At 46.7% G+C, this 26,657-nt stretch overlaps 1 protein-coding gene and 1 non-coding gene across 7 annotated transcripts in view, besides 4 other annotated features; both read right to left on the bottom strand.

Moving 5' to 3' along the window:
- Nucleotides 1–24,534, bottom strand: part of LARP1 (La ribonucleoprotein 1, translational regulator) — a 134,627-nt gene extending 110,093 nt beyond the window's left edge. For all 6 annotated transcript variants that reach the window (XM_047417041.1, NM_001367714.1, NM_001367713.1 and 3 more), the window contains exon 1: nt 24,476–24,534. The gene's annotated coding sequence lies outside the window, so the exon portion shown is untranslated. The remainder of the gene's footprint in view (nt 1–24,475) is intronic.
- Nucleotides 10,215–10,726: an enhancer, noted in NCBI's record as "OCT4-NANOG hESC enhancer chr5:154076347-154076858 (GRCh37/hg19 assembly coordinates)". NCBI's record gives its function as "activates a minimal SCP1, AML or CMV promoter by ChIP-STARR-seq in naive H9 embryonic stem cells {active_cell/tissue: H9 hESC(naive)}" and the evidence as "EXISTENCE:reporter gene assay evidence [ECO:0000049][PMID:30033119]".
- Nucleotides 16,035–16,678: an enhancer, noted in NCBI's record as "H3K27ac-H3K4me1 hESC enhancer chr5:154070395-154071038 (GRCh37/hg19 assembly coordinates)". NCBI's record gives its function as "activates a minimal SCP1, AML or CMV promoter by ChIP-STARR-seq in primed H9 embryonic stem cells {active_cell/tissue: H9 hESC(primed)}" and the evidence as "EXISTENCE:reporter gene assay evidence [ECO:0000049][PMID:30033119]".
- On the bottom strand, nt 21,652–21,737 carry MIR1303 (microRNA 1303). The gene has a single exon (NR_031638.1). It is a non-coding gene; the product is annotated as a microRNA 1303 (primary transcript).
- Nucleotides 24,245–24,724: a silencer, noted in NCBI's record as "silent region_16546". NCBI's record gives its function as "represses an Ori minimal core promoter by ATAC-STARR-seq in GM12878 lymphoblastoid cells {active_cell/tissue: GM12878}" and the evidence as "EXISTENCE:reporter gene assay evidence [ECO:0000049][PMID:35858748]".
- Nucleotides 24,765–24,964: a silencer, noted in NCBI's record as "silent region_16545". NCBI's record gives its function as "represses an Ori minimal core promoter by ATAC-STARR-seq in GM12878 lymphoblastoid cells {active_cell/tissue: GM12878}" and the evidence as "EXISTENCE:reporter gene assay evidence [ECO:0000049][PMID:35858748]".

Genomic DNA, 26,657 nt, shown 5'->3' with positions numbered 1-26,657 from the left:
CCACTAAAAGGAACCAAGGTGTCTTTGAAAAAATAAGTAGCCAATTCCAGCTTTGAGGCAGAAAATGTACAATATGTACTTAGACTATTTTCTAGTGTCACAAATCAATGAAGATAGAGTTGTGTCAAAGAGACTCCCATTGGTCACAGTCAGGACTCCTTGAGTATCAGTAAAGAAAATAACTGCAAGGGGTTGAAAAATATCAAACGTATTTAAATCCATGAGTTCTTAATGATATTTTATTTATTTTACATTAAAACATTTTTTTTTAGAGATAGGGTCTGGCTGTATTGCCAAGGCTATTCTCAAACTCCTGGCCTCCCACCTCAGCCTCCCAAAGTGCTGGGATTGCAGGCTCGAGTCACTGCTCCCAGGCCCTACAACTTTTGAGAGCAATTTGGGAATACTCCATGATCCAAAAACTCTATGACTGGATATATACACAAGAGAAACTCTAGCCATTAAGAGACAGACAAAAGCATTTTTTTAAGTTGGAAGAACTGAAAACAACCAAAATGAATAAATTATGGTACTTTTGATTTTGGGACCATAAATGTGGGGGGATGGTGTGAAATAGAGAGATTTATTTCTTTTTTTCAATGACAAAGTGTCAGAGGCAAGTATTTACTGGGAAAATGCAGGAGCAAAATTTAAAAATTATCTGGTTTGTCGCAGTTATAAAATTGCCTCTTTTTTTGTTTGTTTACCTTATAGACAAGTCCCTACTTTATTGGCTACTTCTGTTTCTGATTACTTTAGGTTAAGTTTTTTGTTTTTTTTTTTTCCAACTTTCCAACTTTTATTTTAGGTTCAGGGGATGTGTGTGTGGGTTTGTTATATACGTAAATTGTGAGTCAGAGGGATTTGGTGTACAGATTATTTAATCACCCATGTAACAAGCATAGTACAGGATAGGTAGTTTTTCAATCCTCACCCTCCTCCCACCCTCCACTCTCAAGTAAATCCTCAGTGTCTACCATTTCCATCTTTGAGGCCCTATGTACTCAAAGTTTAGCTCCCACTTACAAGTGAGAACATGTGGTTATTTGGTTTTCTGTTTCTGTATTAACTTGCTTAGGATAATGACCTCCAGCTCCATCCATGTTGCTGCAAAGGACATGATTTCATTCTTTTTGTATGGCTGTGTAGTATTCCATGGTGTATATGTACCACATTTTATTATTATTATTATTATTATTATTATTATTATTATTATTTTGAGACAAAGTCGCACTCTGTCTCCCAGGCTGCAGTGCAGTGGTGCCATCTTGGCTCACTGCAACCTCTGCCTCTCAGGTTCAAGTGATTCTCCTGCCTCAGCCTCCAAGTAGCTGGGATTATAGGTCCCTGCCACCATGCCCAGCTAATTTTTGATTTTTAGTAGAGATGGGGTTTCGCCGTGTTGGCCAGGCTGGTCTGGAACTCCTGACCTCAGGTGATCTGCTCACCTCAGCCTCCCAAAGTGCTGGGATTACAGGCGTGAGCCACCGCGCCCGGCCATATGTACCACATTTTCTTTATCCAGTCCACCGTTGGTGGGCATCTAGGTTGATTCCACGTCTTTGCTATTGTGAATAGTGCTGTGATTAACATGTGAGTGTATATGTCTTTTTGATAAAATGATTTATTTTGTTTTTGATATATAGTTCTGTTTTAAGTTCTTTAAGAAATCCCCAAACTGCTTTCCACAGCGACTGAATTAATTTACATTCCTACCAACAGTGTATAAGCTTTCCCTTTTCTCTGCAACCTCACTAGCATCTGTTATTTTTTTGCCTTTTTTTTTAAAGACAGTCAAGTGCAGTAGTGAGAAGGGGGAAAGAGTAGAACAAGGAGTTTGGCCGGGCGCTGTGGCTTATGGCTGTAATCCCAGCACTTTGGGAGGCCAAGGCAGCCAGATCACCTGAGGTCAGGAGTTCGAGACCAGCCTGACCAACATGGTGAAACCTGGTCTTTATTAGAAAAATACAAACTTTACCCGGTGTGGTGGCAGGTGCCTGTAATCCCACCTACTCGGGAGGCTGAGGCAGGAGAATCCCTTGAACCTGGGAGGCAGAGGTTGCAGTGAGCTGATACTGCACCACTTGCACTCCAGCCTGGGTGACAGAGCGAGACTCCATCTCAAAAAAATAAATAAATAAATAAAAAGAACAAGGAGTTTGATCTGTAACTGGCTGTGAACAATCGAGATAACTCACTATCTTCAGACTAGCCTATTTTTTAACTTTTTAATAACAGCCATTCTGACTGGTGTAAGTTGGTATCTCATCATGGTTTTGATTTGCGTTTCTCTGATTAGTGATGTTGAGCATTTTTTCATATGCTAGTTGGCTGTGTGTATGTTTTCTTTTGAGAAGTGTCTTTTCATGTCCTTTGCCTTTTTTTTTTTTTTTTTGAGACGGAGTCTTGATCTGTCGCCCAGGCTGGAGTGCAGTGGCGTAATCTCAGCTCACTGCAACCTCCGCCTCCTAGGTTCACATAATTCTCCTTCCTCAGCCTCCTGAGTAGCTGGGATTACAGGCGCATGCCACCAGGCCCAGCTAATTTTTGTATTTTTAGTAGAGACAGGGTTTCTCCATGTTGGCCAGGCTGGTCTCAAACTCCTGACCTCAGGTGATTCACCAGCCTCAGCCTCTCAAAGAGCTAGAATTACAGGCGTGAGCCACTATGCCCGGCCCTGTCCTTTGTCCATTTTTTAATGGAGTTGTTTTTTGCTTGTTAATTTATTAAGTCCCCTTATAGATTGTGGATAGTAGCTCTTTTTTCGAATGCATAGTTTACAAATAGTTTCTCCTGTTCTGTAGGTTGTCTATTTATTCTGTTATAGTTTCTGCTGTGCAGAAGCTTTTTTTTTTTTTTTTTTTTGAGACAGGGTTTCATTCCTGTCGCCCAAGCTGGAGTGCAATGGCACGATCTCGGCTTACTGCAGCCTCTGCCTCCCAGGTTCAAGAAATTCTCATGCCTCAGCCTCCCAAGTAGCTGGGATTACAGGCGTGAGCCACCACACCTAGCTAATTTTTGTATTTTTAGTAGGGGCCAGGTTTCACAATGTTGGCCAGGCTGATCTCGAACTCCTGACCTCCAGTGGTCCACCCACCTTGGCCTCCCAAAGTGCTGGGATTACAGGCATGAGCCACCACGCCCAGCCTGTTCCCTATTCTTTGACCAGCACTCACCACCTAACACTGTCCCTAGCCCTGTCAATCAAACATACCTGCCAAATGAAGAAAATTGCTTAGTCTCACAGTCAACGGACTTAGGATACCCATTTGCACACTCCCATTAACACCACGAACTTTTCCTTCTCAGTGCTTATCGTACTTGTAATTAACCCATTTCTCATTTAGAAAAAAAGTGCAGCTTGTTGCCAGTGTTCATTTCTGGGGGTAAATGGGAAATGGGTTAAATAATTGCACATGCAACCATTTGCTTAATGTGTGCCTCTCTGACAAGACCACCAGCTCCCTGGGGGTATACATTGCCCCTAGTGTTGTTCACTGTTGTATCCCCAGTGCTTGAAATGGTACCTAGCATATAGCTGGCACTCAATCAATGCTTGTTGAATGAATATTTATTTATTTAAAAAAATTTTGGCTGGGCGCGGTGGCTCATGCCTGTATTCCCAGCACTTTGGCAGGCTGAGGAGGGCGGATCACCTGAGGTCAGGAGTTCGAGACCAGCCTGGCCAACATAGTGAAACCCCATTTCTACTAAAAATACAAAAATTAGCTGGGCATGGTGGTGGGCGCCTGTAATCCCAGCTACTCCGGAGGCTAAGGCAGGAGAATTGCTTGAGCCCAGGTCACGGAGGTTGCAGTGAGCAGAGATGGTGCCATTGTACTCCAGCCTGGGAGACAGAGCAAGATTCCATCTGAAAATAAACAAAAAAATGTTTTTTAGAGACAAGGTCTCACTTTGTCTCCCAGGTTGGAATGCAGTGGTACAATCATAGCTCACTGCAGCCTTGAACTCCTGGGCTCAAGTGAGTCTCCTGCCTCATTCTCCCAAAGTGCTGGGATTAGAGAGGCCCCCATGCCCAGCCTGTTGAATGAATAAATGAGCATAGATTACAAAAATGGCCACAGTCAAAATGAGTGCAGATGGCAAAGGGGCCCCAGTCAGTTGGTCAGTCCACCTGCCAATCATGAAGGCCTGAGCTACCCTAGGTGCTGACCCATTCCCAGGCCAAAGGCAACTGGCATAAGGTCCTTTATTTCAAGATGCTGAAAGTGTATAGATAGGAGTTTGCTAACGCCCAGCGCAGCTGTTCTTAGAAAGAGTCTGCCTCCTAGAAAAACTATCCGTTTACAAAAGAGACAAAATGAGGGAAAGCAGGCTCATCTGCTGGTTAACCAGTGTCCTCTCTTTTTTTTTTTTTTTTTTTTTTTTTTTGAGACAGCGTCTCACTCTGTTGCCCCGGCTAGAGTGCAGTGGTGCGATCTTGGCTCACTGCAACCTCCACCTCCCGGGTTCAAGCGATTCTCCTGCCTCAGCCTCCTGAGTAGCTGGGACTGCAGGCACGCGCCACCACGCCCGGCTAATTTTTTTTGTATTTATAGTAGAGATGGGGTTTCTCCATGTTGGCCAGGCTGGTCTTGAACTCCTGACCTCGTGATCCGCCCACCTCGGCCTCCCAAAGTGCTGGGATTACAGGCGTGAGCCATCTCGCCCAGCACAACCAGTGTCCTCTCTTTGCCTCTGGTTGGTGATTTGGGACAGTTAGCTTGGGGGTAGATAAACTGTATTTCAGCCTACAAGTAATAGTGTAACCTACTTCACAGAGTTGTTAGAGGACAAATAAGTGGATGTGTAAATATGTATTACAGGACCTGACAATGGCACCAATGCTCAGTCATGCTTTCTAGAGTTGTTGCTATCAATGCCTTTTGCCTTGTAAGGCTGCCCTTGAATGAAGGGTAATTTAAATGCCACCACTTGAAGTTTTTTTTTTTTTTGGAGATGGAGTTTCGTTCGTGTTGCCCAGGCTGGAGTGCAATGGCATGGTCTTGGCTCACTGCAACCTCCGCCTCCTGGGTTCAAGAAATTCCCCTGCCTCAGCATCCCTAGTAGCTGTGATTACAGGTGCCCACCACCACGCCCGGGAAATTTTTGTATTTTTAGTAGAGATGGGGTTTCACCATGTTGGCCAGGCTGGTTTCAAACTCCTGACCTCAGGTGATTCGCCCACCTTGGCCTCCCAAAGCACTGGGATTACAGGCATGAGCCACCGCACCTGGCCACTTGAAGATACTTAGGGCAGAACTCTAGTGATAGGTGCTGGGCTCCACTAAACATCTCCTGGGGCCAACCTGGCCAGAATGCAGGTGAGAGGGAATGAACCATCTAAGTGACAGAGGCGTAACTCAAACCATTTAGGCAAGAGTTGGCCCATGCACCCATTAAGTCCAGAGGGTAGACTTCTTTGTACACAGTAGACCCAGTGGCTCAAGCAGTATCATCAGGATGTCTCCTCCCTGTCTCCATCACTCAATCCTGCTGTGTCTGTGGGAGCTCCTGTCACAAAAAGGCTCAGGTCCACAATGGTGGCTTATATCCTAACTTCTCAGCTACTACAGATAAAAGAGAAAGTTTGGCCGGGTGCAGTGACTCACACCTGTAATCTCAGCACTTTGGAAGGCCGACAGGGGTGGATCACGAGGTCAGGCATTCCAGACCAGCCTGGCCAACATAGTGAAACCCCATCTCTACTAAAAATATAAAAAATTAGCTGGTCATGGTGGCAGGCGCCTATAATCCCAGCTACTCAGGAGGCTGAGGCAGTAGAATAGCTTCAACCTGGGAGGCGGAGGTTGCAGTGAGCTGAGATCACACCACTGCACTCCAGCCCAGGCAACAGTGCGAGACTCTGTCTCAAAAAAAAAAAAAAAAAGAAAGTTTCCCTCCCCAAAGTTCGGACCATATCCCCAGAATTGAGTCTCATTGGCTGTAACTGAGTCACATATCTATTCCTGGCCCATCACTGTGACCAGGGGGTCTGACTGGCAGAGCTGAGTCATGGGCCCACCTTTCCCTATGGGCTGGAGTCAGCTCTGAACATGGGGAGGGGAGGCTTCCCAAGCAACATATGGTTGCTGTTGCCAGAAGGGAGACTTTCGCTGGGTCAGCAAAACAAATATCCACTGTAAAATGCAAACCTCTCTGCAGGTCAGGTGACAAAAGCAATGTCACATTGAGACCAAGTAAACATCAATTCTGTCAGACAAACGAAGTGATAGGATCTGGAGGGATTCCCAGAGGGCAATGGGGCGTTACTTAGCTGTCTGCCAAAAGACCTGTTTTATAGGGCCCAGGTAAGGGTAAGGCAAGTGAGGCACTTGCCATTGGCACTAAATTAAGACAAAAAACAAACAAACAAACAAAAAACAAAAGAAAACACCAACTCAGAGCGAGCACAGTGGCTCACAACTGTAATCCCAACACTTTGGGAGATTGAGGAGGAAGAATATCTTGAGCCCAGGAGTTCAAAACCAATCTAGACAACATAGCGAGATGCTATCTCTACAAATATTTTTTTCTTTTTTTTTTTGAGATGGAGTCTCTCTCTGACACCCAGGCTGGAGTGTGGAGTGCAGTGGCGTGATTTCGGCTCCCACTGCAGTTTCTGCCTCCTGGGTTCAAGCGATTCTCCTGCCTCAGCCTCCCCAGTAGCTGGGATTACAGGCACGTGCCACCACCCCCGGCTAAACAAAAAATCTTAAAAATTAGCCAGGCATTGTGGCATGTACCTGTAATCCCGGCTATTTGGGAGCCTGAGGTGGGAGGATCGCTTGAGCCTGGGAGGTCAAGGCTGCAGTGAGCCAAGATTGCAACACTGCACTCCAGCCTGGGTGATAGAGCGAGACCCTGTCTCAAACAACAACAACAAAGGTGATAGAGCAAGACCCTGTCTCAAACCACAACAACAACATCATCTCAGTAATCTAGATAAATAATACTTTAATGCAATATTTTATTTCATTTGAGACAGGGTCTCACTCTGTTGCCCAGGCTGGAGTGCAGTAGCACGATCATGGCTCACTGCAGCCTCAACCTCCTGGACTCAAGTGATCCTCCCACCTCAGCCTCTCAAAGTGCCAGGATTACAGGTGTGAGCCATTGCGACCAGCCACAATATTTTATAAGATGAAAATTAATATGAAAAAACACACAATGACTCAAATACCCAAATTTTAAATAAAGGCAGGGTGAATAATAGTGCAGAATATAGCCATCTTGGAGCTCAGGGCAAAAGGAAAAATTAGAACTACTGATCCTGCTTTTATTTAAAATTTGGGCATTTTGTTCATCATACCTTTTTGCATTAATTTTGATTTTTAAAATATTGTATTAAAATATTATTTGATTACTGCATTTTTTTGCACCTGTCAAAATTTTGTGCCTGAGGCAGTTACCTCATTCCCCTCACCCTAGTCCAGGCCCTGCTGTCTTATGTGAGATTTGCTGGAGGCAGAGAGGAAAAGCCACCCAAAAATGAATGGATGTATCAAAAACTGGAATTCCCTAATGGGAAGGGTTCTGGATGGGAATAAGAGTCCTGGAATCAGTTCTGGTTCTGCCATCGCCTTGGGAAAACCTGTTTTCCTCTCCGGGCCTCAGTTTCTCCACTTGCATAGGAGGGACAGGGCAGGCTTAGTGGTTTTTAAGCAATAGAACTCAATCTCCAGTATAGAAAATGGATTAAAATGGAGCTGTTGAAGGGGCATGTGCTGGGGTAGACCCATTTGTACCTCGGTCCCTCCACCACTCAACAGTCCCCTCCAGGTGTTCCATGGAGCCCTAAGGAGTTCCTGTGGACACAGTACGAAAACTACTCAATTCAATGGTCTCTAAGATCCCTAAGCAAACCCATTTTTATGCCTGAGATAATGTACATGTTCAATTTCCCCTGTCTATTCTTTAGTTAGGTCGGTGTCTCTCACATGGCCAGTAGTCCCGTTTCAGGAACACTTCAGGTGCTTTATTTATTTATGTTTTAATTATTTAAATTTTTTTTTTTTTTGTAGAAAGAGGGGTCTTGCTATGTTGCCCATGCTGGTCTTGAACTGCTGGCTTCAAGCCATCCTCTCAAAGTGCTGGAATTACAGGCATGAGCCACCACACCTGGCCTAATGCTTTATTTAAAATGCAGAGCCCATGGCCTTATCCTAGTCTTACAAAATTTGAATCTCCAGGAATGGGGCCCAAGAATCTTTATTTTAAACAAGCACTCCTTCCCTGACATGTGATTGACATCCATTGAAGTGTTTGTGTCCTTCACAGTGAAATTATTCCCACAGAACCTCAGGAGTTACTTTATTCTGGAGCTTTAACTACAACAGTCCTTCTGAATGTCCAGGGTGAGGGGAAAAACAGGAATAGTCAGATAAGCCCACATAAATGACTCAAGATTAGCCAAGTGGGAACAGACCACAGTGAGATCTCCAGGGGCCCTTTTCCAGGCAGAACATCCTGGCGGCCCCTCGCTCTGCAATCCCACAGCTTGTATCGAAAGAAATAGTCTGTGCATTTCTCTCTTCTTCCGGAGTGGCACTGACAACCTCAGGAATTATTGACTGAATTATCAGGTTTCTTATTAGTACACTAATGGGTTCCCGAGAGCTAGGCGCAAGCATGCCCCTGAGACAGTCAAGGGAATTCATTTTAGACTTTGGAACTAGGGCATATTTTTGTCAACTGCAAGGGAAACAGCTATTCATTCACTAGTTTTATTTATTTAACTAGCTTGGCAGATTCATTGGTGAATTAGATATTTCCTTTTCTTCAGCTTTACCGAGATATAATCACACACAATATAATTTGCCCATCTAAAATGTAAGTTCAATTGTTTTTAGTATATTAACAGAGTTGTGCAACTGTCACTACAATCAATTTTTATTTATTTATTTATTTATTTTGAGACACAGCCTCGCTCTTGTCGCCCAGGCTGGAGTGCAGTGGTGTGATCTCAGCTCAATGCAACCTCCGCCTCCTGGATTTAAGCAATTCTCCTGCCTCAGCCTCCCTAGTAGCTGGGATTACAGGCGCCTGCCACCACATCCGGCTAATTTTTACATTTTTAGTAGAGACAGTGTTTCACCATGTTGGCCAGGCTGGTCTCGAACTCCTGACCTCAGGTGATCCACCCTCCTCGGCCTCCCAAAGTGCTGGGATTACAGGCGTGAGCCACAGTGCCCCGCCATACAATAGATTTTAGAATATTTTCATCACCTCAAAAAGAATCCCTGTCCCAACACAAAGAAATGATAAATATTTGAAGTGACAGATATGCTAATTACCCTGATTTGATGATTACACATTGTATATATGTATTGAAATATCACGCTGTTTACCATAAAAATGTACAATTATTATGTGTCCATGAAAAATTATAATAAAAGCAAAAATACAAAGTGTACGACTTGCTAAAGGCTCAGATGATTGTTAGCATTTTTGGCAATAAAGTATTTTGTAATTTAAAAAAAAAAACCACCCAACCTCATTTCAACTGAAAATTAAAAAATTAGCCTGGTATAGTGGTACATGACTGCAGTCTCAGCTACTTGGGAGACTGAGGCGAGAGGATCACTTGAGCCCAGGAGTCCGAGGCTGCAGTGAGCCATGATGGCACCACTGCACTCCAGCCTGGAGGATAGAGTGAGAGACTCTGTTTTAAAAACAACAACAACAACAAACAAAAAACAAATCCTTGCGCCTTTTAGCTATTATCCCTTAGTCTTTCTATCCCCCCTGCACCAGCCCCAAGTCCTAAGTAAACACGAATCTAATTTCTGTCTCTATGAATTTGCCTATTCTGGACATTCATATAAATGGAATCATAATATGTGGTCATTTGAGACTGGCTTCTTTCACATAGCATAATGTTTTCAAGGTTCATCGACGTTATAGCATATATCAGAACTTCATTCCCTGTTATGGCTGAATAACATTCCAATGTATGAATCTACCACATTTTGTCTATCCAGTCACCAAGTATGGTTGTTTGGGTTGCTGACACATTTTCGCTATTATGAATAATGCTGCTACAAACATTTGTGCACAAGGTTTTGTGTGGATGTGCTTTCTTCCTTTCACTTTTGAAGGGCTCCTAGTCTAGTAGACACAGGTGCTAAGACAGGTACACGCACATAATTCCTTATGCTGACAGGATGTGTGAAAGGAAAATAAATCTTGGAATCCCAAACTCTCTAAGCCAAAGGGAAAAGTCAAGCTAGGAACTGGGTCATGCAAACCTGCCTCCCCATTTGGTTCATAAATAAGATGGCTACAAAGAGAAGAAAAAAAAAAAAAAAGATAAAAAGCTACATACCTCCCTCACAGTCTGCCCACAAGGAAATTCCTGGCGGGCCCCAAGATCTTTACCCTAAAACAATTCTGTTGAATTTCACCCTGGCAATGTAAATTGACAGCTTATCATCACAGGTGCATGACATAGGACAGAACTCAAAGTCAACTCTCTGCTCCTCTGAAACAAATGCGTATCAGATTGCTTCCTTTGCCCTATTGTTTACATTATCTTATGTAAAAATGCAGATTCACTGATCCAGTCAAGGAATGAAGGACGATTTCCTCTACACCCCTCTCACATGAAAATTGTGCATTCCCCCAATATCCACACTTTCTCTTTTTAAATATTGAAGCCCTCAAAATCATCTTTGGAGAAAGGCATAGATCCTTCTCTCAGGCTTGCGTCCTTAACTTTGGCAAGTAAACCTCTTCCTAAAATGATTGATACCTGCCTTGGTCATTTTCTTTGATTTACAGATGATACAAGAAAGGTACAAGCCAATGGAGTGTGAGGGTGAGAACCAACTGCTTCTTCTGCCATTACTAATGGAATAATGCAGGGGCAAGCTCCTTCACCTCTCTGTGTACCTGTTTTCTCAGGGGTAAAATGAGACTAGTATTTTCTTTACCTTATAGGATCACTGTAAGGATTACATGAGACAATGCATATGAAGGGCTTTGCACCAAGCTTGGGACACAGTAAGGGCTGGAAAAACATTTCCCATTATCATTTTGCATTCAGAGATTCCTAAGAATAAGTTTACTAATGAACCATGCACTCTAGCAATGCAGTCTTCATTCTTTCAATGAGCATTTGCTTTGGTTTTGTTGTTGTTGCTGTTGTTGTTTTTGAGACAGGGTCTCTGTCTGTCACTGAGGCTAGAGAGTAGTGGCACAATATCGGCTCACTGCAGCCTCAACCTCCCAGGCTCAAGCAATTCTCCCACCTCAGCCTCCCAAGTAGCTGGGACTACAGGCACATGCCACCATGCCTGGCTAATTTTTTAATTTTTTGTAGAAAAAGTGTTTCTCCGTGTTACCCTGGCTGGTCTCAAACTCCTGGTCTCAAGCAATCTCCCTGCCTTGGCCTCCCAAAGTGCTAGGATTATAGGAGTGAGCCACCGTGCCCAGCCTCAATGAGTATTTGTTGAATATTTATTATGTACTGGACACTCTGAGATAAATATAGTTGATCTAAACCTAGCTGCTATCCCCAGGAGCCCATAATCTGTCATCTGAATGGCAAGACCTACTAGCGTACATCACCTCCATATATTGTGATTCCGTGTATGGAGGTGATGTATGCCAGCAATATATTGTAATTTTTTTTTTTTCGAGATAGAGTCTTGCTCTGTCGCCCAGGCTGGAGTGCAGCGGCACGATCTTGGCTCACTGTGACCTTTGCCTCCCGGGTTCAAGGGATTCTCCTGCCTCAGCCGCCCAAGTAGCTGGGATTACAGGTATGCGTCACCACGCCTGGCTACTTTTTGTATTTTTAATAGAGACAGGGTTTCACCATGTTGGCCAGGGTAGTCTATAACTCTTTTTTTTGAGACGGAGCCTTGCTCTGTCTTCCAGGCCGGAATGCAGTGGCACGATCTTGGCTCGCTACAACCTCCGCCTCCCAGGTTCAAGTGATTCTCCTGCCTCAGCCTCCTGAGTAGCTGGGTTTACAGGCGCGCGCCACCATGCCCAGCTGATTTTTGTATTTTTAGTAGAGACGGGGTTTCACCATGTTGGTCAGGCTGGTCTCGAGCTCCTGACCTCGTGATCTGCCCGCCTCGGCCTCCCAAAGTACTGGGATTTACATGCATAAGCCATATTGTGATATTAATGAGGGCCCCAAATTTGCTATTAGAGCACTGAAGAAGTGCTTTTTCTTTTTTTTCTTTTTTTGAGACGGAGTCTCACTCTGTCCCCCAGGCTGGAGTGCAGTGAGGCGATCTCTGCTTACTGCAAGCTCCGCCTCCCAGGTTCACGCCATTCTGCCTCAGCCTCCCGAGTAGCTGGGACTACAGGCACCCACCAACACGCCTGGCTAATTTTTTGTATTTTTAGTAGAGACGGGGTTTCACCATGTTAGCCAGATTGGTCTCGATCTGCTGACCTCGTAATCCGCCCATCTCGGCCTCCAAAAGTGCCGGGATTACAGGCGTGAGCCACCGTGCCCAGCCTAGAAGTGTTTTTTAAAAAACTTTTTATTTTGGGCCAGGTGCAGTGGCTCACGCCTGTAATCCCAACACTTTGGGAGGCTGAGGCAGGAAGATTGCTTGAGTCCAGGAGTTGAAACCCTGTCTCAACAACAATAACAAAAAAAAGGGAAAGAAAATTTTTCTTTTGAAAATATCAGAAAAATAAAAAAAAACAATAAACCAAATACCTATACATCAATCACATAGCAACAATTGTCAACATTTTACTGTTTTCTCCATCTCACTATATATAAAATCTGTGGCTAAAGCATTTTAAAGCTAATTACAGATATTCTAACACTTCAACCCTAAACACTTCAGCATGTATTTCCAAAAATTAGATCATTCTCTTCCATAACAATACACTTAACACGTCTCACAAAATTAGCAATAATTTTCTTATATCATCTAATACCAAGTTCATAGTGAAATTTCCCCATTGTCTAAAGCATGGTGGGCCAGGTATAGTCGCTTACACCTGTAATCTCAGTGCTTTGGGAAGTCAAGGTGGGAAGGTGGCTTGAAGCTAGGAGTTCCAGGCCAGCCTGGGCAATGTAGTGAGATGTCATCTCTACTAAAATAAAAAAAAAAAAATGGCCAGGTATGATGTCTTGCACCTATAGTCCCAGCTGTGGGGAGGCTGAAGAGGGAGGATGGCTTGAGTCTAGGAATTTGAGCTTGCAGTGAGCTAGGATCACACCACTGCACTTCGGCCTGGGCAACAGAGTGAGACCCTGTCTCAAAATAAATAAATAAATATGATAAAAATAAAAACGTGGTCCTTATTTTTTTATAGTAATAAATCAAGATATAATCAAGAATCACATCTTATATTTGGCTTGTTAGACTATTAGGTCTCTTTAAATCTAGAACCTCCTCCCCATTACTTTTTTTTGTTTTTACAACATTGGCTTTTAAGAGATTATGGCAGTTGTCTTATAAACTGTTTCACATTCTGGCTTTGTCTGATTGCTTCTTTGTGTGTTGTTTAACGTGTTCCTCTATCCCCTGAACTTTTCGTAACTGAAGCTAGTTCTTATAGGCCTCATTAGATTCAGGCTCAATATTTTTCACAGGAGCCAAAATAGGTGGAGCTATGTAGTCTACTCCATCCTATTAGGGGTGAGAAAAGAACTTTCTTTCTTTTTTTTTTTTTTTTTTAGACGGAGTCTTGCTCTGTCGCCCAGGCTGGAGTGCAGTGGCGCGATCTCGGCTCACTGCAAGCTCCGCCTCTCCAGTTCACGCCGTTCTCCTGCCTCAGCCTCCCGCGTAGCTGGGACTACAGGAGCCCGCCACCACGCCCGGCTAATTTTTTGTATTTTTTAGTAGAGACGGGGTTTCATTGTGTTAGCCAGGATGGTCTTGATCTCCTGACCTCGTGATCCGCCCGCCTCGGCCTCCCAAAGTGCTGGGATTACAGGTGTGAGCCACCGCGCCCAGTCGAGAAAAGAACTTTCATCTGGGCAATTCAAGTCCTTTTAAATTAATAAATGAGACAGTAATCAGTCCTACATCCCACTTTAAGCTATGTATTCATCTCTTAAAACTGCTTGCCAGGCCAATCACGAACCAATGTTATTTCTGTAAACCAATGAGAATTCCTGACACACAACTCTGTAATAGCCCTCTCCCTATTCTTTTTTTGTCTTTAGAAACCTGCTTGTGAGCCTGGGCAACATGGCAAAATCCGTCTCTACAACGAAATAAAAAATTAGCAGGGCGTGGTGGCTCATGCCTGTGGTCCCAGCTACTTAGGAGGCTGAGGTGGGAGGATTGCTTGAGCCCAACAGTTTGAGGCTGCAGTGAGCCGAGATCATGCCACTGCACTCCAGCCTGGGCAACAGAGTGAGACCCCGTCTCAAAACAAAATGAAACAAAGAAACCTGCTTGTGACCAGTCACAGTGGCTCACACCTGTAATCCCAGCACTTTGGGAGGCTGAGGCAGGAGGATCCCTTGAGCCCAGGAGTTCGAGAACAGCCGGGGCAACATAATGAGACTTTGTCTCTACAAAAAAAAAAAAAATAATTAAAAATTAAAATTAGCTGGGTATGGTGGTGCGTGTCTGTAGTCCCTAGCTACTAGGGAGGCTGAGGTGGGAGGAAATATACATATACACACACATATATATGTTTAAACACCTGCTTGTATGTAACAAAGGCCAAATGGAGCTCATATCTGAGGTTACTTGATTCTGAGTCTTCTCAGCAGCTGTCCTCACTTTGACTCAAGTAAACTCTTCAAATTATATTTCGTGCCCCAGCCTCTTCCTTTGAGGTTGGCAGGAGGCACTTAAGGCCAGCTGTCCACCATGTGTGATGCTGAGTGTGGTCCCTAGGTGATGATGAGCAGATAGAGGACGAAGAACTCTTTACCCTGTTGGCAGGAAGGGTAGAAGTCTTCACAGGCAATGGCCTTTGATTTGGGCTTTAAAGGGTGTGTAAGAACCTACAGGGTGGGGAAGAGAAGAGGAAGGGCTTTCCAGGTATGCATGGAGGCACAATGTAGGGAAAGACAATGACAAGCTTGAGGAAGTAGGAGGTGGTAGCCAAATGTGGGCTGAGAATTATAATAACAAGCACTTAGGGTGAGTTGAGTGTGTTCCAGGAACTATGCTAAGTGACTCACTTAATCCTCAGCCTGTCCTGCGGAATGTGTGCTGCCACCCCCATTTTAAGGATGTGGAAATCAAGGTTTAGCAATAAGCAGCAACTGGCCTAAAGTCACATAGCTAGGAACTGGTAGACTCCTGAACCTCTGCTTTAAACATCTCTAAGCACTTCCTTAAGGTGAGGGAAGAACGCGAAACTGGGGAATGATGTTGGGGCAGATGGAGATAGGCCTTCTCCACCGTTCTAAGGGGTTTCAGTGTTATTCCAGGGCACTAGGGAGCCAGCGAAGGTTTCCTTCGAAAGGGACCAGCAGGGCTGGGAGCGGTGGCTCATGCCTGTATTCCCAGCACTTTGGGCGGCGGAGGCGGGTGGATCGCCTGAGGTCAGATGTTCAAGACCAGCCTGGCCAACAAATGGTGAAACCCCGTCTCTGCTAAAAATACAAAAATTAGCCGGGCGTGGTGGCGCAGGCCTGTAGTCCCAGCTACTCAGGTGGCTAAGGCACGAGAATCGCCTAAGCCCCGGAGGGGGAGGTTGCAGTGAGCCGAGATCGCGCCACTTTTTTGAGGCAGAGCCTCAAAAAAGAAAAAGAAAAAAAAAAAAGAACGAAAAGGGTGAGCAGGGCTGTGCCTGACAACGCTCACCCGCGGCCCTATGGGGGATGAACCGAGGGCTGCCGAGGAGCGCTATCAGGTTGGAGGATGGGTGCCCATTCACGTGAGCTGCCCCAGGGAACAGGGACGGAGGGAGGAATGCAAGATCCTCCCTGACCTTGTGCAGACCTTCATGCCGAAGGGCAGTGGGGCGGGGCTGAGTCTCCGCAGGATCCCGGAGCCTTTTCAACGAACGGCACCCCAAGCTGGGCGTCGGGCAGGAGCAGAGTGGGCCGCCACCCGCGGACCCCGCGACCTGCGCGCAGCTCGTGCTTCCCGGCACCCCGAAAGCTCGGCGGCCAGGCGGCCACGTCGCAGGGGGATGTGAGCTGCAGAGACGGGGGAAAGGGCCAGTTTTAACCTCCGCGGCCCAGAGAGGGGAAGCGACTGGCCCAAGGTCACACAGTCAGATAGTGGCAGGGGTAGGACTAGAACTCGGGCTGTATCTCTTGATTGCAAGTCTGATACTTTCTTTCTTTTTTTTTTTTTTGAGACGGAGTCTCCCTCTGTCGCCCAGGCTGGAGGGCAGTGGCGCGATCTCGGCTCACTGCAAGCTCCGCCTCCCGGGTTCACGCCATTCTCCTGCCTCAGCCTCCCGAGTAGCTGGGACTACAGGCGCCCGCCACCACGCCCGGCTAATTTTTTTTTCTTTTTTTAGTAGAGACGCGGTTTCACCGTGTTAGCCAGGATGGTCTCGATCTCCTGACCTCGTGATCCGCCCTCCTCGGCCTCCCAAAGTGCTGGGATTACAGGCATGAGCCACCGTGCCCAGCCCTGATACTCTTTCTTGATGCAATTTATTTCAGAATCAAAGAAGAATCAATATACTGTGGCTGAGGACCGGCGGCTGGGATGCCGAATACTCCGGGGAATCCGGGGTTTTTTTTATATCTATTTTACCTCTTCGGGAATCCTGAGGACTGTGCGGCGGTGGAAACGGGCTCCAGGCGCCCTGTCCCGCCAGGCCGTTGTCGCACAGCCCCCCCGCCCGGGTCATCCCAGCGAGACCTGCGCGTCCTCCGCACACCACCAGTGCGGGCGGGGCCCATCGTGCCTGGGAGTCCCTGCTCTCCGCAGCTGGGGGTACAAAGCCTCCGCCTGCTGCTCAGCCATATCACCCAGGCAGGGAGGGTGCGTGGAGGTAGTGGCGGGTCTCGCTCTGGGGCCGGGCGGACCGAGTTCAAGTCTCTGCCCTGGTACTCACTAGCTGTGCGACCCTGAGATGGTCACTTTCCCTCTCTGTACTTCTGTTTCTTCATTTTAAATCGGTGAAAATAACCGTGCTTCATACAGTTGGGTGTGAGGATTAACTAACATAAGGAGTATTCAAAGCCTTAGTAAGGGGCTTGCCGCACGACAAAGGCCAGTTATTATTATTAGCCCGGGAGTCAGTAGGGTTGGGTGCCTAATGTACCTATGAATTTGACAAACCTTTTCTCGATCCTACATGAAACCTGCTGCTTCCATGAAGTCCACCCAAATTAACTTCATTCAGTTTAAATCCATCTTGATTCTCAGAACTTAAACCACAGCTGGCATTGTCTAACTGCAATGGGGTAGGGGCAGCAGGCTTGTGTGTGTGCCCTCCCCCGCACCACTAACCTAGATTCACAAGGCCTGAGGTGTGTAGTCCTGCCTTCCGAGGGCTGCTAGCTACTTGATTTTGAGTAAATCACTTCATTTTTTTTTAATTTAAATTTTAATTTTTTTGGAGACAGAGTCTGGCTCTGTCACCCAGCCTGGAGTGCAACGGCGCGATCTCTGCTCAGTGCAACCTCCACCTCCCAGGTTCAAGCAGGCGCGTGCCACCACGCCCAGCTAATTTTTTTGTATTTTTAGTGGAGACAGCATTTCACCATGATGGCCAGGCTGGTCTCGAACTCCCGACCTCAGGTGATCCGCCCGCCTTGGCCTCCCAAAGTGCTGGGATTACAGGCGTGAGCCACCACGCCAGGCCCAATCACTCCATTTTTGAGTCTCAACTTCCTCTGTAAAATGGAGGTGATAATATTAATTTTATCCATTTAGGCAAGATGAACAGAATTAGATCTCTGATTATACTTTGAGAATGGAAGGAAACAAACAGGCAAAATGTTTTTTCTTTTCTTTTCTTTCTTTTTTTTTTTTTTTTTTAAACGGAGTCATGGTCTGTAGTCCAGGCTGGAGTAAAATGGCACGATCTCAGCTCACTGCAACCTCTGCCTCCTGGGTTCAAGTGAGTCTCCTGCCTCAGCCTCCAGAGTAGCTGGGATTACAGGTGCCTGCCACCTCGCCAGATTATTTTTTATTTTTTATTTTTTTGAGACAGAGTTTCACACTGTCGTTTGGGCTGGAGTGCAATGGCACGATCTTGGCTCACTGCAACCTCTGCTCCTGGGTTCAAGCAATTCTCCTGCCTCAGCCTCCCAAGTAGCTGGGATTACAAGTGCCGCCACCACGCCTGGCTAATTTTTTGTATTTTTGGTAGAGACGGGGTTTCACTATATTGGCCAGGCTGGTCTCAAACTCCTGACCTCATGATCCACCCGCCTAGGCCTCCCAGAGTGCTGGGATTACAGGCGTGAGCCACCGCACCCAGCCAATTTTTGTATTTTTAGTAGACATGGGGTTTTGCCATGTTGGCGAGGCTGGTCTCGAACTCCTGACCTCAGGTGATCCACCCACCTCGGCCTCCCAAAGCGCTAGGATTACAGATGTGAGCCACTGCGCCCGGCGCAAAATGTTTTCTCAAAACATATTTAATAACTTGGAAAAATGGTGTCAATATATAGTATTTTTCTTTTCTGAATTTAATTTTTTATGTAAAAATTTTATAAAAGGAATGCATTAATACATTCTCACAAAGATTCACCATATAATGTTAAGTGAAAAAGGGCAAATCAAGGGCAAAAGAAATATGCTTCCAATGTTGTTTTATTTCACTTTTGAACCAGGGTCTCATTCTGTCACCCAGGCTGGAATGAAGTGATGCATTCATGGCTCACTGCAGCCTCAACCTTCCAGACTCAAGAGATCCTCCTACCTCAGCCTTCCAAGTAGCTAGGACTACAGGCATGTGCCACTAGCCCTAGCTAATTTTTTTTTTTTTTTTTTTTTTTGAGATGGAGTCTTCCTCTGCCGCCCAGGCTGGAGTGCAGGGGTGTGATCTTGGCTCACTGCAACCTCTGCCTCCTGGGTTCAAGTGATTCTCCTCCTCAGCCTCCCAAGTAGCTAGGATGACCGGCATCCACCACCACACCTGGATAATTTTTGTATTTTTAGCCAGAAAGAGACAGGGTTTCACCATGTTGGCCAGACTGGTTTCAAACTCTTGGCCTCACGTGATCTGCCCACTCAGCCTCCCCAAGTGCAGGCTTGACCCACCTCGCCTGGCCTGCCCAGCTAATTTTTTTTTTAAGATGTGAACTTTTTCATTCTTCAAAAAGAGAATGTATTTTTACATAAATCTATAACAGAATTCAAATGTAGAAAAAATAAACTATATTCAGGGATAGAGTGCTCAGCACAGCACACCCCCTCCCCGGATGAGACTGCAGGAGCCTCGCCACCCCCAGGACACCCAACATCAGGGCAGCCACAGGCTGGCACATAGAGCTCCCTGTGTCTGTCACAACAGGCTGCAAATGCAAGGGGCCCAGACCCGAAGCATCAAAGACAAAAACCAACCCATTTCACTGTGGCAACTCACTTCTTGGCCTAGGTCACTCATTTGTACACCTACTCAGAAAGGGAGGCACAGGGAAACTGAGGGACATGCATCTCCAGATGCCTCGGATAATCCCCTACTCACTTCTGCCACTAGAGGACCCCCAGGAGAGCCCACCTGACAAACCCCAACTTCTTCCCTGGGCCAGTGCAACCAAAAACCTGCAGGATTCACCCAGGACTCCAGGCCCTGACAAGAGGCAGAGCTGGCTGCAGCTCGACTAATTAAAAAATTTTTTTTGTTGAGACAGGTTCTCTCGTGTTATCCTGGCTGGTCTTGAACTCCTAGCCTCAAACTTTCCTGCCACCTTCGCCTTCCAAAGCTCTGGCATGAGTGCCCAGCCTCCCAACTTATATATAAATACAGGCCGGGCGCAGTGGCTCACGCCTGTAATCCCAGCACTTTGGGAGGCCGATGCAGGCAGATCACGAGTTCAGGAGATTGAGATCATCCCGGCTAACACGGTGAAACCCCGTCTCCACTAAAAATACAAAAAATTAGCCGAGTGTGGTGGTGGGTGCCTGTAGTCCCAGCTACTAGGGAGGCTGAGGCAGGAGAATGGTGTGAACCCAGGAGGCGGAGCTTGCAGTGAGCCGAGATCACGCCACTGCACTCCGGCCTAGGTGACAGAGTGAGACTCCGTCTCACAAACACACACACACAACACACAAAAGTATAAATACACTGAAAAAAATAAACATAAGGAAATCCACCAACATGTTAACATGTTACATCTGGGTGGGAAGATTACTACAGATTATTATCTTCATCTTTATTTTTCTATGTTCTCCAATTTTTTTTCAAATGCTGCATTATTTTTATAAACAGAAGCAAGCTACAATATTGTAACAGAAATATTGAAGATTATATTTGAAAATATTCAAGGCTAAACAAAAGCAAGTTAGATATCACCTATGTGTCCGCAATCAGAAACCTTTGAGACTAAAATTTAGCCTTTTGGAAGCACCGTCCATCTTCCCCCAGACCCACCCCTGCCTCTTGGCAAAATCACAGCACCATGCTGTGACTGAGGGGTCGGTCTAAGAGAGACAGAGACTGATTTCTCTCTAGGAAAGGCTCATGCAGAGCTCTCTGCTTCCTTGGTTTCCAGAACTTCACCAGCCTTCTTGGCCTGAAGTTCCTTCTTCTGAAGTCAGGCATGGCTCTGCCAAGGGATACTTGGACAGTGATCCATGGGACTGGAGAAGACCCCTGCAATCCCTGCAGTTACCAGGTTACTTAATTAGCTGGCATTTAAGGGTCTGTAGGATCTGAACCAATCTTCCTTACAACTCCCATGTGTGCCAATCAAACAGTCTGTCGGCCATCTCCAAAGCCAGAAAGGGACAGTAATGAGTGAAGAGAGCTGGGTGTGATGCAATTGGGAAAGGTAAGGACTGTGGCAAACTGGAGTAAGCCCACACCTTCAAAACGAACGGCCACTTCTCAGTGCCAGTCTATTGCTACCTGGTGGGACCTTTCGATTTTTCAAGAGAATTGGAAAATCTGGATCTTTATGTGAAATCTCCTGATTTTAAAATAAATATTGGCAGGTAATTCACAAAACATATTTGGCCACTCTGCTGATCACAATTTGTGACTTGTCTTAGGAACACATTGAACTTTTTTCCCTCTGCACCTTTGCTTTTGCTATTCCCAATGCCAAGAACACTCCCCCACCCATCTAAGTCTAATGAACTCCATCTGTTCCGTCAGACCCAGCCAAAACACCACCTCTTCCGGAGCATCCCCGCAGCCAGAAGTGACATCTCCCTCACTGGGGCTGCACCACACATTTAGCTCTGTGCCTGTCTCATCCTATGCCCACAGTTGTTTCAGTAAGAGTCTTAGCTTTCCTGGTACAGAATGAGCTCCTGAAATATCCAGAAAACATTTGTGGAGCACCTGCTATGGTGCAGGAACCGTACTAAGCACTAGTGATACAGCCTAGAACAAGATGGATATGTCTTTGCCTTGATGCAGTACAGTCTAGTGTAGGGGGCAGATTTTAAATAAATAACTCCCTAGATACCTAATCCCAATTGTGATGAGTTTTATGGGGTTAAGAAAGTTTATAAAAGAGACTTAATCCAGGCAAAGGAGGATTAACCGAATCACGAGGTAGCTTGGGGAAGCATTAGCAGTAGGGCTCCCACTTAGGGCTGTACAGTTTACATGCTGCACAAAGCCTGGCAACAGAGCAAGACCCCGTCTCTAAAATTTAAAAAAAAAAAAATTGTAGAGTTGAGGTCTCGCTATGTTGCCCAGCCTGATCTCAAACTCCCGGCCTCAAGTGTTTCTCCCACTTGGCCTCCCAAAGTGTTGGAATTACAGGTGCGAGCCACTGTGCCCGACCCCTTTTTCTAATCTGCACAAAGGCATCGTATAGACTAGCAGAGGCAGCGTTTAGTTCACCCCTATCCAAAGCTGCTTTAAATAAACTTAGAATCTAAGTAGATACGGTGACTTCCCTATGTACATGCAGCCCAAAGAGATGTTCCCTGCTCCCCACTTTCTACGCTAAACCCTTAGACTTCTGAGATCAGGGAAGGCACCCCAAGGAAGTAACATAGGAGCTGAGACTGAAGGATAAGAAGGGGCCAGCCAGCTTGGAATATGAGGAACAGCATGTGCAAGGCCTCTGAGGGGAGAAGGTACCATGGCCAAAGGACCTAATAGGTGGCCGTTGTGGTGGAAGCATGGACAGAGGTAGGAGAGCATTAAGGGGTAGGCTGGGCAGTGACCACCCTGCATGGCTCAGAAGGCCACATTAAGGAGTGCAATTCTTTTTTTTTTTTTTCTGAGATGTTGTCTCACTCTGTCACCCAGGCTGGAGTGCAGTGGCGCGATCTCAGCTCACTGCAACCTCCACCCTCCGGGTTCAAGTGATTCTCCTGCCTCAGCCTCCTTAGTAGCTGGGATTACAGGTGCGCGTCACCATGCCCAGCTAATTTCTGTATTTTCAGTAGAGACGAAGTTTCACCATGTTGGTCAGGCTGGTGTCGAACTGCTGACCTTGTGATCTGCCCACCTCCACCTCACAAAGTGCTGAGATTACAGGCATGAGCCACCGCGCCCAGCCAAGGGGTACAATTCTTATCCTGAAATACCTTCCATATCCCTTCCATATCCCACTCCCTAACCACGTCATTTCTGGGTTTCACTGCCCATGAGAGAGTGCACAATGGTAGAAACTATCTTTACAGAGGGCCTGCCATGAGGCACAGACTGTGCTGGGGTCATACATTCATTCTGCCTTTTTTATGCTCCTAAGGAAGTATTATTTGATTTCAATGGAACAGATGAAAAAATGGAGGCACAGAGAGGATGAGCAGCTGGCCTAAGGTTAGCTGACTGTTAAGGGGTAGGCTGGGATCCACTGTGAAGTCCACTGTGGGACTTCAAACCCCTTCTCTTGGCCGTCATGCAGCAATGGTACCCATGAATAGACCGGAAGCGCAAGGAGTGCACACCCTTGCTACTCAAAGGCAGGAGGGTCTAGGGGCCTGCAACACTGGCATCACCTGGAAGTTTGTCAGAAATGCAGGATCTTGGGTTCGTTCCATCCAGCCCTACTGAATCAGAATCTACAATTTTTTTGTGTGTGTGTGTGAAAGGGTCTCACTGTGTTGCCCAGGCTAGAGTATAGGGGCACAAACACAGCTTACTATAGTCCCCACCTCCTGAGTTCAAGGGATCCTCCTGCCTAAGCCTCCCAAGTAGCTGGCACAGGCCACCACGCCCAACTAATTTTTAATTTTTTTGTAGAGATAGGGATCTCACCATGTTGCCCAGGCTGGTCTCAAATTTCCTGGGCTCAAGCAATTATCCTGCCTTGGCCTCCCAAAGTGCTGGGATTACAGGTGTGAGCCATCGTGCCACGTCAGAATCTACACTTTACAGGAATCATGTACACATTAGGAGCTGAGAAGCACTAGACTAGAGAATAATCCAAGCAAAGTGGCATATTGCCTTTGTAGCCCTTATGCAACAGTGTCTCATAAGCCAGGTTTCCAATGACCCGAAAACAACTTCTTATAACCAAATATACCAGATTGGCCAACTGTTCCATTCATCTATCCACCCTAGTTTTGTCATCTATTTCCACTCCAAGGGAAAGACTGTGAGAAGCTACCATCAACTCCAAAGACGAGGTGCTGTATGCTCCAAATCATCTCCCATTTGAGGTCTACTCTGATCCCCAGATAATTTTCTGGAACACACTTTTCACAAAAGAATTCCCTATGTTAGCCTGCATACCAAAGGAGTCAGAATGGTTTGGTAGAAAAGATTAGTGGGTGAGGAAAAGCAGGGTTCCCCTTCAGCTTTAAGGCCACATGTGACTTTGGGAAATGCCCTACCCTCACTTCCTAATCCCCATGTAAAATATGAATGGGGTGGACTAGACTAGGAATCATTCCATATGAGGCCTGGCAGGAAACACAAAGGAAGTTCAGTGGCCTAGGTGAAACAGTAGGGAGTAGCGGAGACTGTGGCAAACTAGAGGGCGAGCAGGTAGGGAGGGTGCAATGCCCTGACTACACAAAGGTATCCCCACTCAGAAATAGGCTAGAGTTATCATGGGAAATACGTTGACATATATTCTAATTTTTTGAGTTGGGAATCTGATTTTCCAAGAAATGAGTGATGTTTAAGTATTGGCAACTATTAATAGTTAAAACTTCAGAACAAACAAACACAACACTGTGTGAGCCAAATAAATATCAGGTGCCGGCCAGATCTGTCCGTGGGCCGTCAGTTTGACTTGCCTGGCCCAGATGCCACCCTAATGTTAGGTATTAATTTGCATGTGCGGCTGAGAATGCTGCAAAGCGGCTCCTGTAAGGATGGGGGTTGAGGGGTAAGATCTGTGCCTTTCCGGGGCCCGTCGCCCGTCCCCCACCGCGGCCCGGGCCCCTTTCGGTGCCCCCTCCCCAGGCCTCTCCGGGAAAGGGCCCAGACGGTGGTGCCGGGTCGCACGGCGTCGCTTGCTTCACACCCTCCCTACCTGCTCGCCTGCTCTCCCAGCACGGCCGGCAGCGCCGCAGCAGCGATGACTCAGCCTCTGGCGGCGGAGCTGGAGGGAGGCGGAGGGGGCGAGGGGGAGGACGACTGGCAGGGCGGGGTAAAAGGAGGCGGGTGGAATGGAGGGAGGAGGGGAGAAAGAAAGAGGAAAAGGAGAGAGAAGTGGGATGGGGGAGGAGAAAGAGGAAAGGGGGAGAGGAGACGGGGGAGAGGCGGAGGTGGGAGGGGGCAGTTCGAAGCCCCAGCTCCCGCCTCCTCCCGCGGCCGGCTGAGGTTGGGCTGGGCTGGGGGAGGACAGTGGGGGAACAGCGGAGAGGGTAGGGCAGGGGCGGAGAAAGGAGGGTGGCGTGCTGCGCCCCTTCCCCTCCCCCACTTCGAGAGTCCCGTGGGTACACGTGGTTCATTGCCACACCCACGGACCCACCCCTGCCTCTGTGGGATGGGAGGGGCCGGGGAGGGTGCCCGGGAATGCGGCTTCGGACTCTGAACCTTTAGTGAGCGCCTTCCAGCGGAGGCCTGGGGGACTGGGCAGTCAAAAAGGGACAGAGGGGCCGGGCGCGGTGGCTCACGCCTGCAATCCCAGCACTTTGGGAGGCCGAGGCGGCCGGATCACCTGAGGTCAGGAGTTCAAGACCAGCCTGGCCAACATGGCGAAACCCCGTCTCTACTAAAAATACAAAAATTAGCTGGGCGTGGTGGCGCGCGCCTGAAGTCCCAGCTACTTGGGAGGCTGAGGCAGGAGAATCACTTGAACCTGGGAGGCGGAGGCTACAGTGAGGCAAGATCGTGCCACTGCATTCCAGCCTGGGCAACCCTGTCTCAAAAAAAAAAAGGGGGACAGAGAGAGGTGAGGGCTTGCAGGGGAGAAAGCAAATCCACAAGGCGTATCCGCAAGTGGAAATTTAAAGGGAGAAATGAGCCTACTCGATGCATTTTTGCTAGTCTACACAAGTAGCTATAACACAAGGTTGAATTTGGAAGTCACACCAAGGAAGTTTCCTTAGCAATGTTTTGTAATATAAATGATGAATGAATAAAATGTACTATGGGAGTACATCTGTGTGTATAGAAGAGGACAAATGGAATTTTTTTAAATGTCTTTTTGTATGTCTGTTACATATGTGTGTTTGGGTGAATATATAGGAGTGTATGTGTCATTGAATAATGTGTATATATGTATGCCTTATGTATGTAAGCACATTAATAGCTGTATATGAGGTCGTGTGCCAAGAATACATTTCTGTGTATATGGACAGGTGTGTATCTTTATATGCCTAGGTGTTAACTGTATAAGACCTATGGGCTTTCCTGAGTTTGTTTTAAATATGCATATTTATGTGAATTTATGAGTTTGTGAATGTGACAGCATATCCTTGGGGGGTATGTGTGGGGGTTTTTTGTGTGTGCCAGTATTGTATAAATGTGTATGTGTATACGGGACTCCTGTCTGAGATCGTGTTATGCTTGGATATTTGTGTGTGTGCATGTGTATGGTAATACATTTGTGATCAGTCTGTGACCAGGGCTACAGGGCATCTTGAGGTTGCATGTGTGTGTCTGTGTGTATAATTGAGAATGTATGTCTGTTTTTCAGAGTCTTTATGGATATGATTGTGTCTAGCATCTCTGTAGCCACCCTGTCGATCCATTTGTGATAAGGGCTATGTGATTCTTAAGGGTTGGGCTGGTCAAGGCGGCTCCTTGGAGGAAGAGGTTCTTGTGAGGTGGGGACGGTAGACACAGGAAGAAGTTGCATGTGTGCTGGCCCACTGAATAGACCACCCAGAGCAGCCGGAGGCCAGGCAAGCAAAGTAGGCTGAAACAAGACCAGGGAAAGCGCTGAATGCCAGAATGGGTAATCACGGCCTCTTCTGGCATCTTCCGCCCTCTCAAGCGTTGGATCAGTTTCTCTCATGGCCCTTCTCTGGGTCTACCTGGTCAGTGCTCTTCTGCAGAGTGCACATCCTTGGTAATGAACATGGCAACAATGGTGGAGCATTACTATGAGCCTGCCTGCAGAAAGCACTTAACAGGCAATAGGTCAGCTCTGTGAGGCAGAAATTTGGTATCCCCAGTTTTACAGAGGGGGAGCAGGAGATTAAGCCCTGTTGGTGATGCCCCTGTTGGATTCTGAGGCCCCATGCCCTCTCAACCACTATTGACGT

The sequence above is a fragment of the Homo sapiens genome, chromosome 5 (assembly GCF_000001405.40).
Source record: "Homo sapiens chromosome 5, GRCh38.p14 Primary Assembly".
Lineage (NCBI taxonomy): Eukaryota > Metazoa > Chordata > Mammalia > Primates > Hominidae > Homo > Homo sapiens.
The sequence above is the reverse complement of the archived record's forward strand: the minus strand, read 5'-3'. Positions and strand labels throughout refer to the sequence as shown.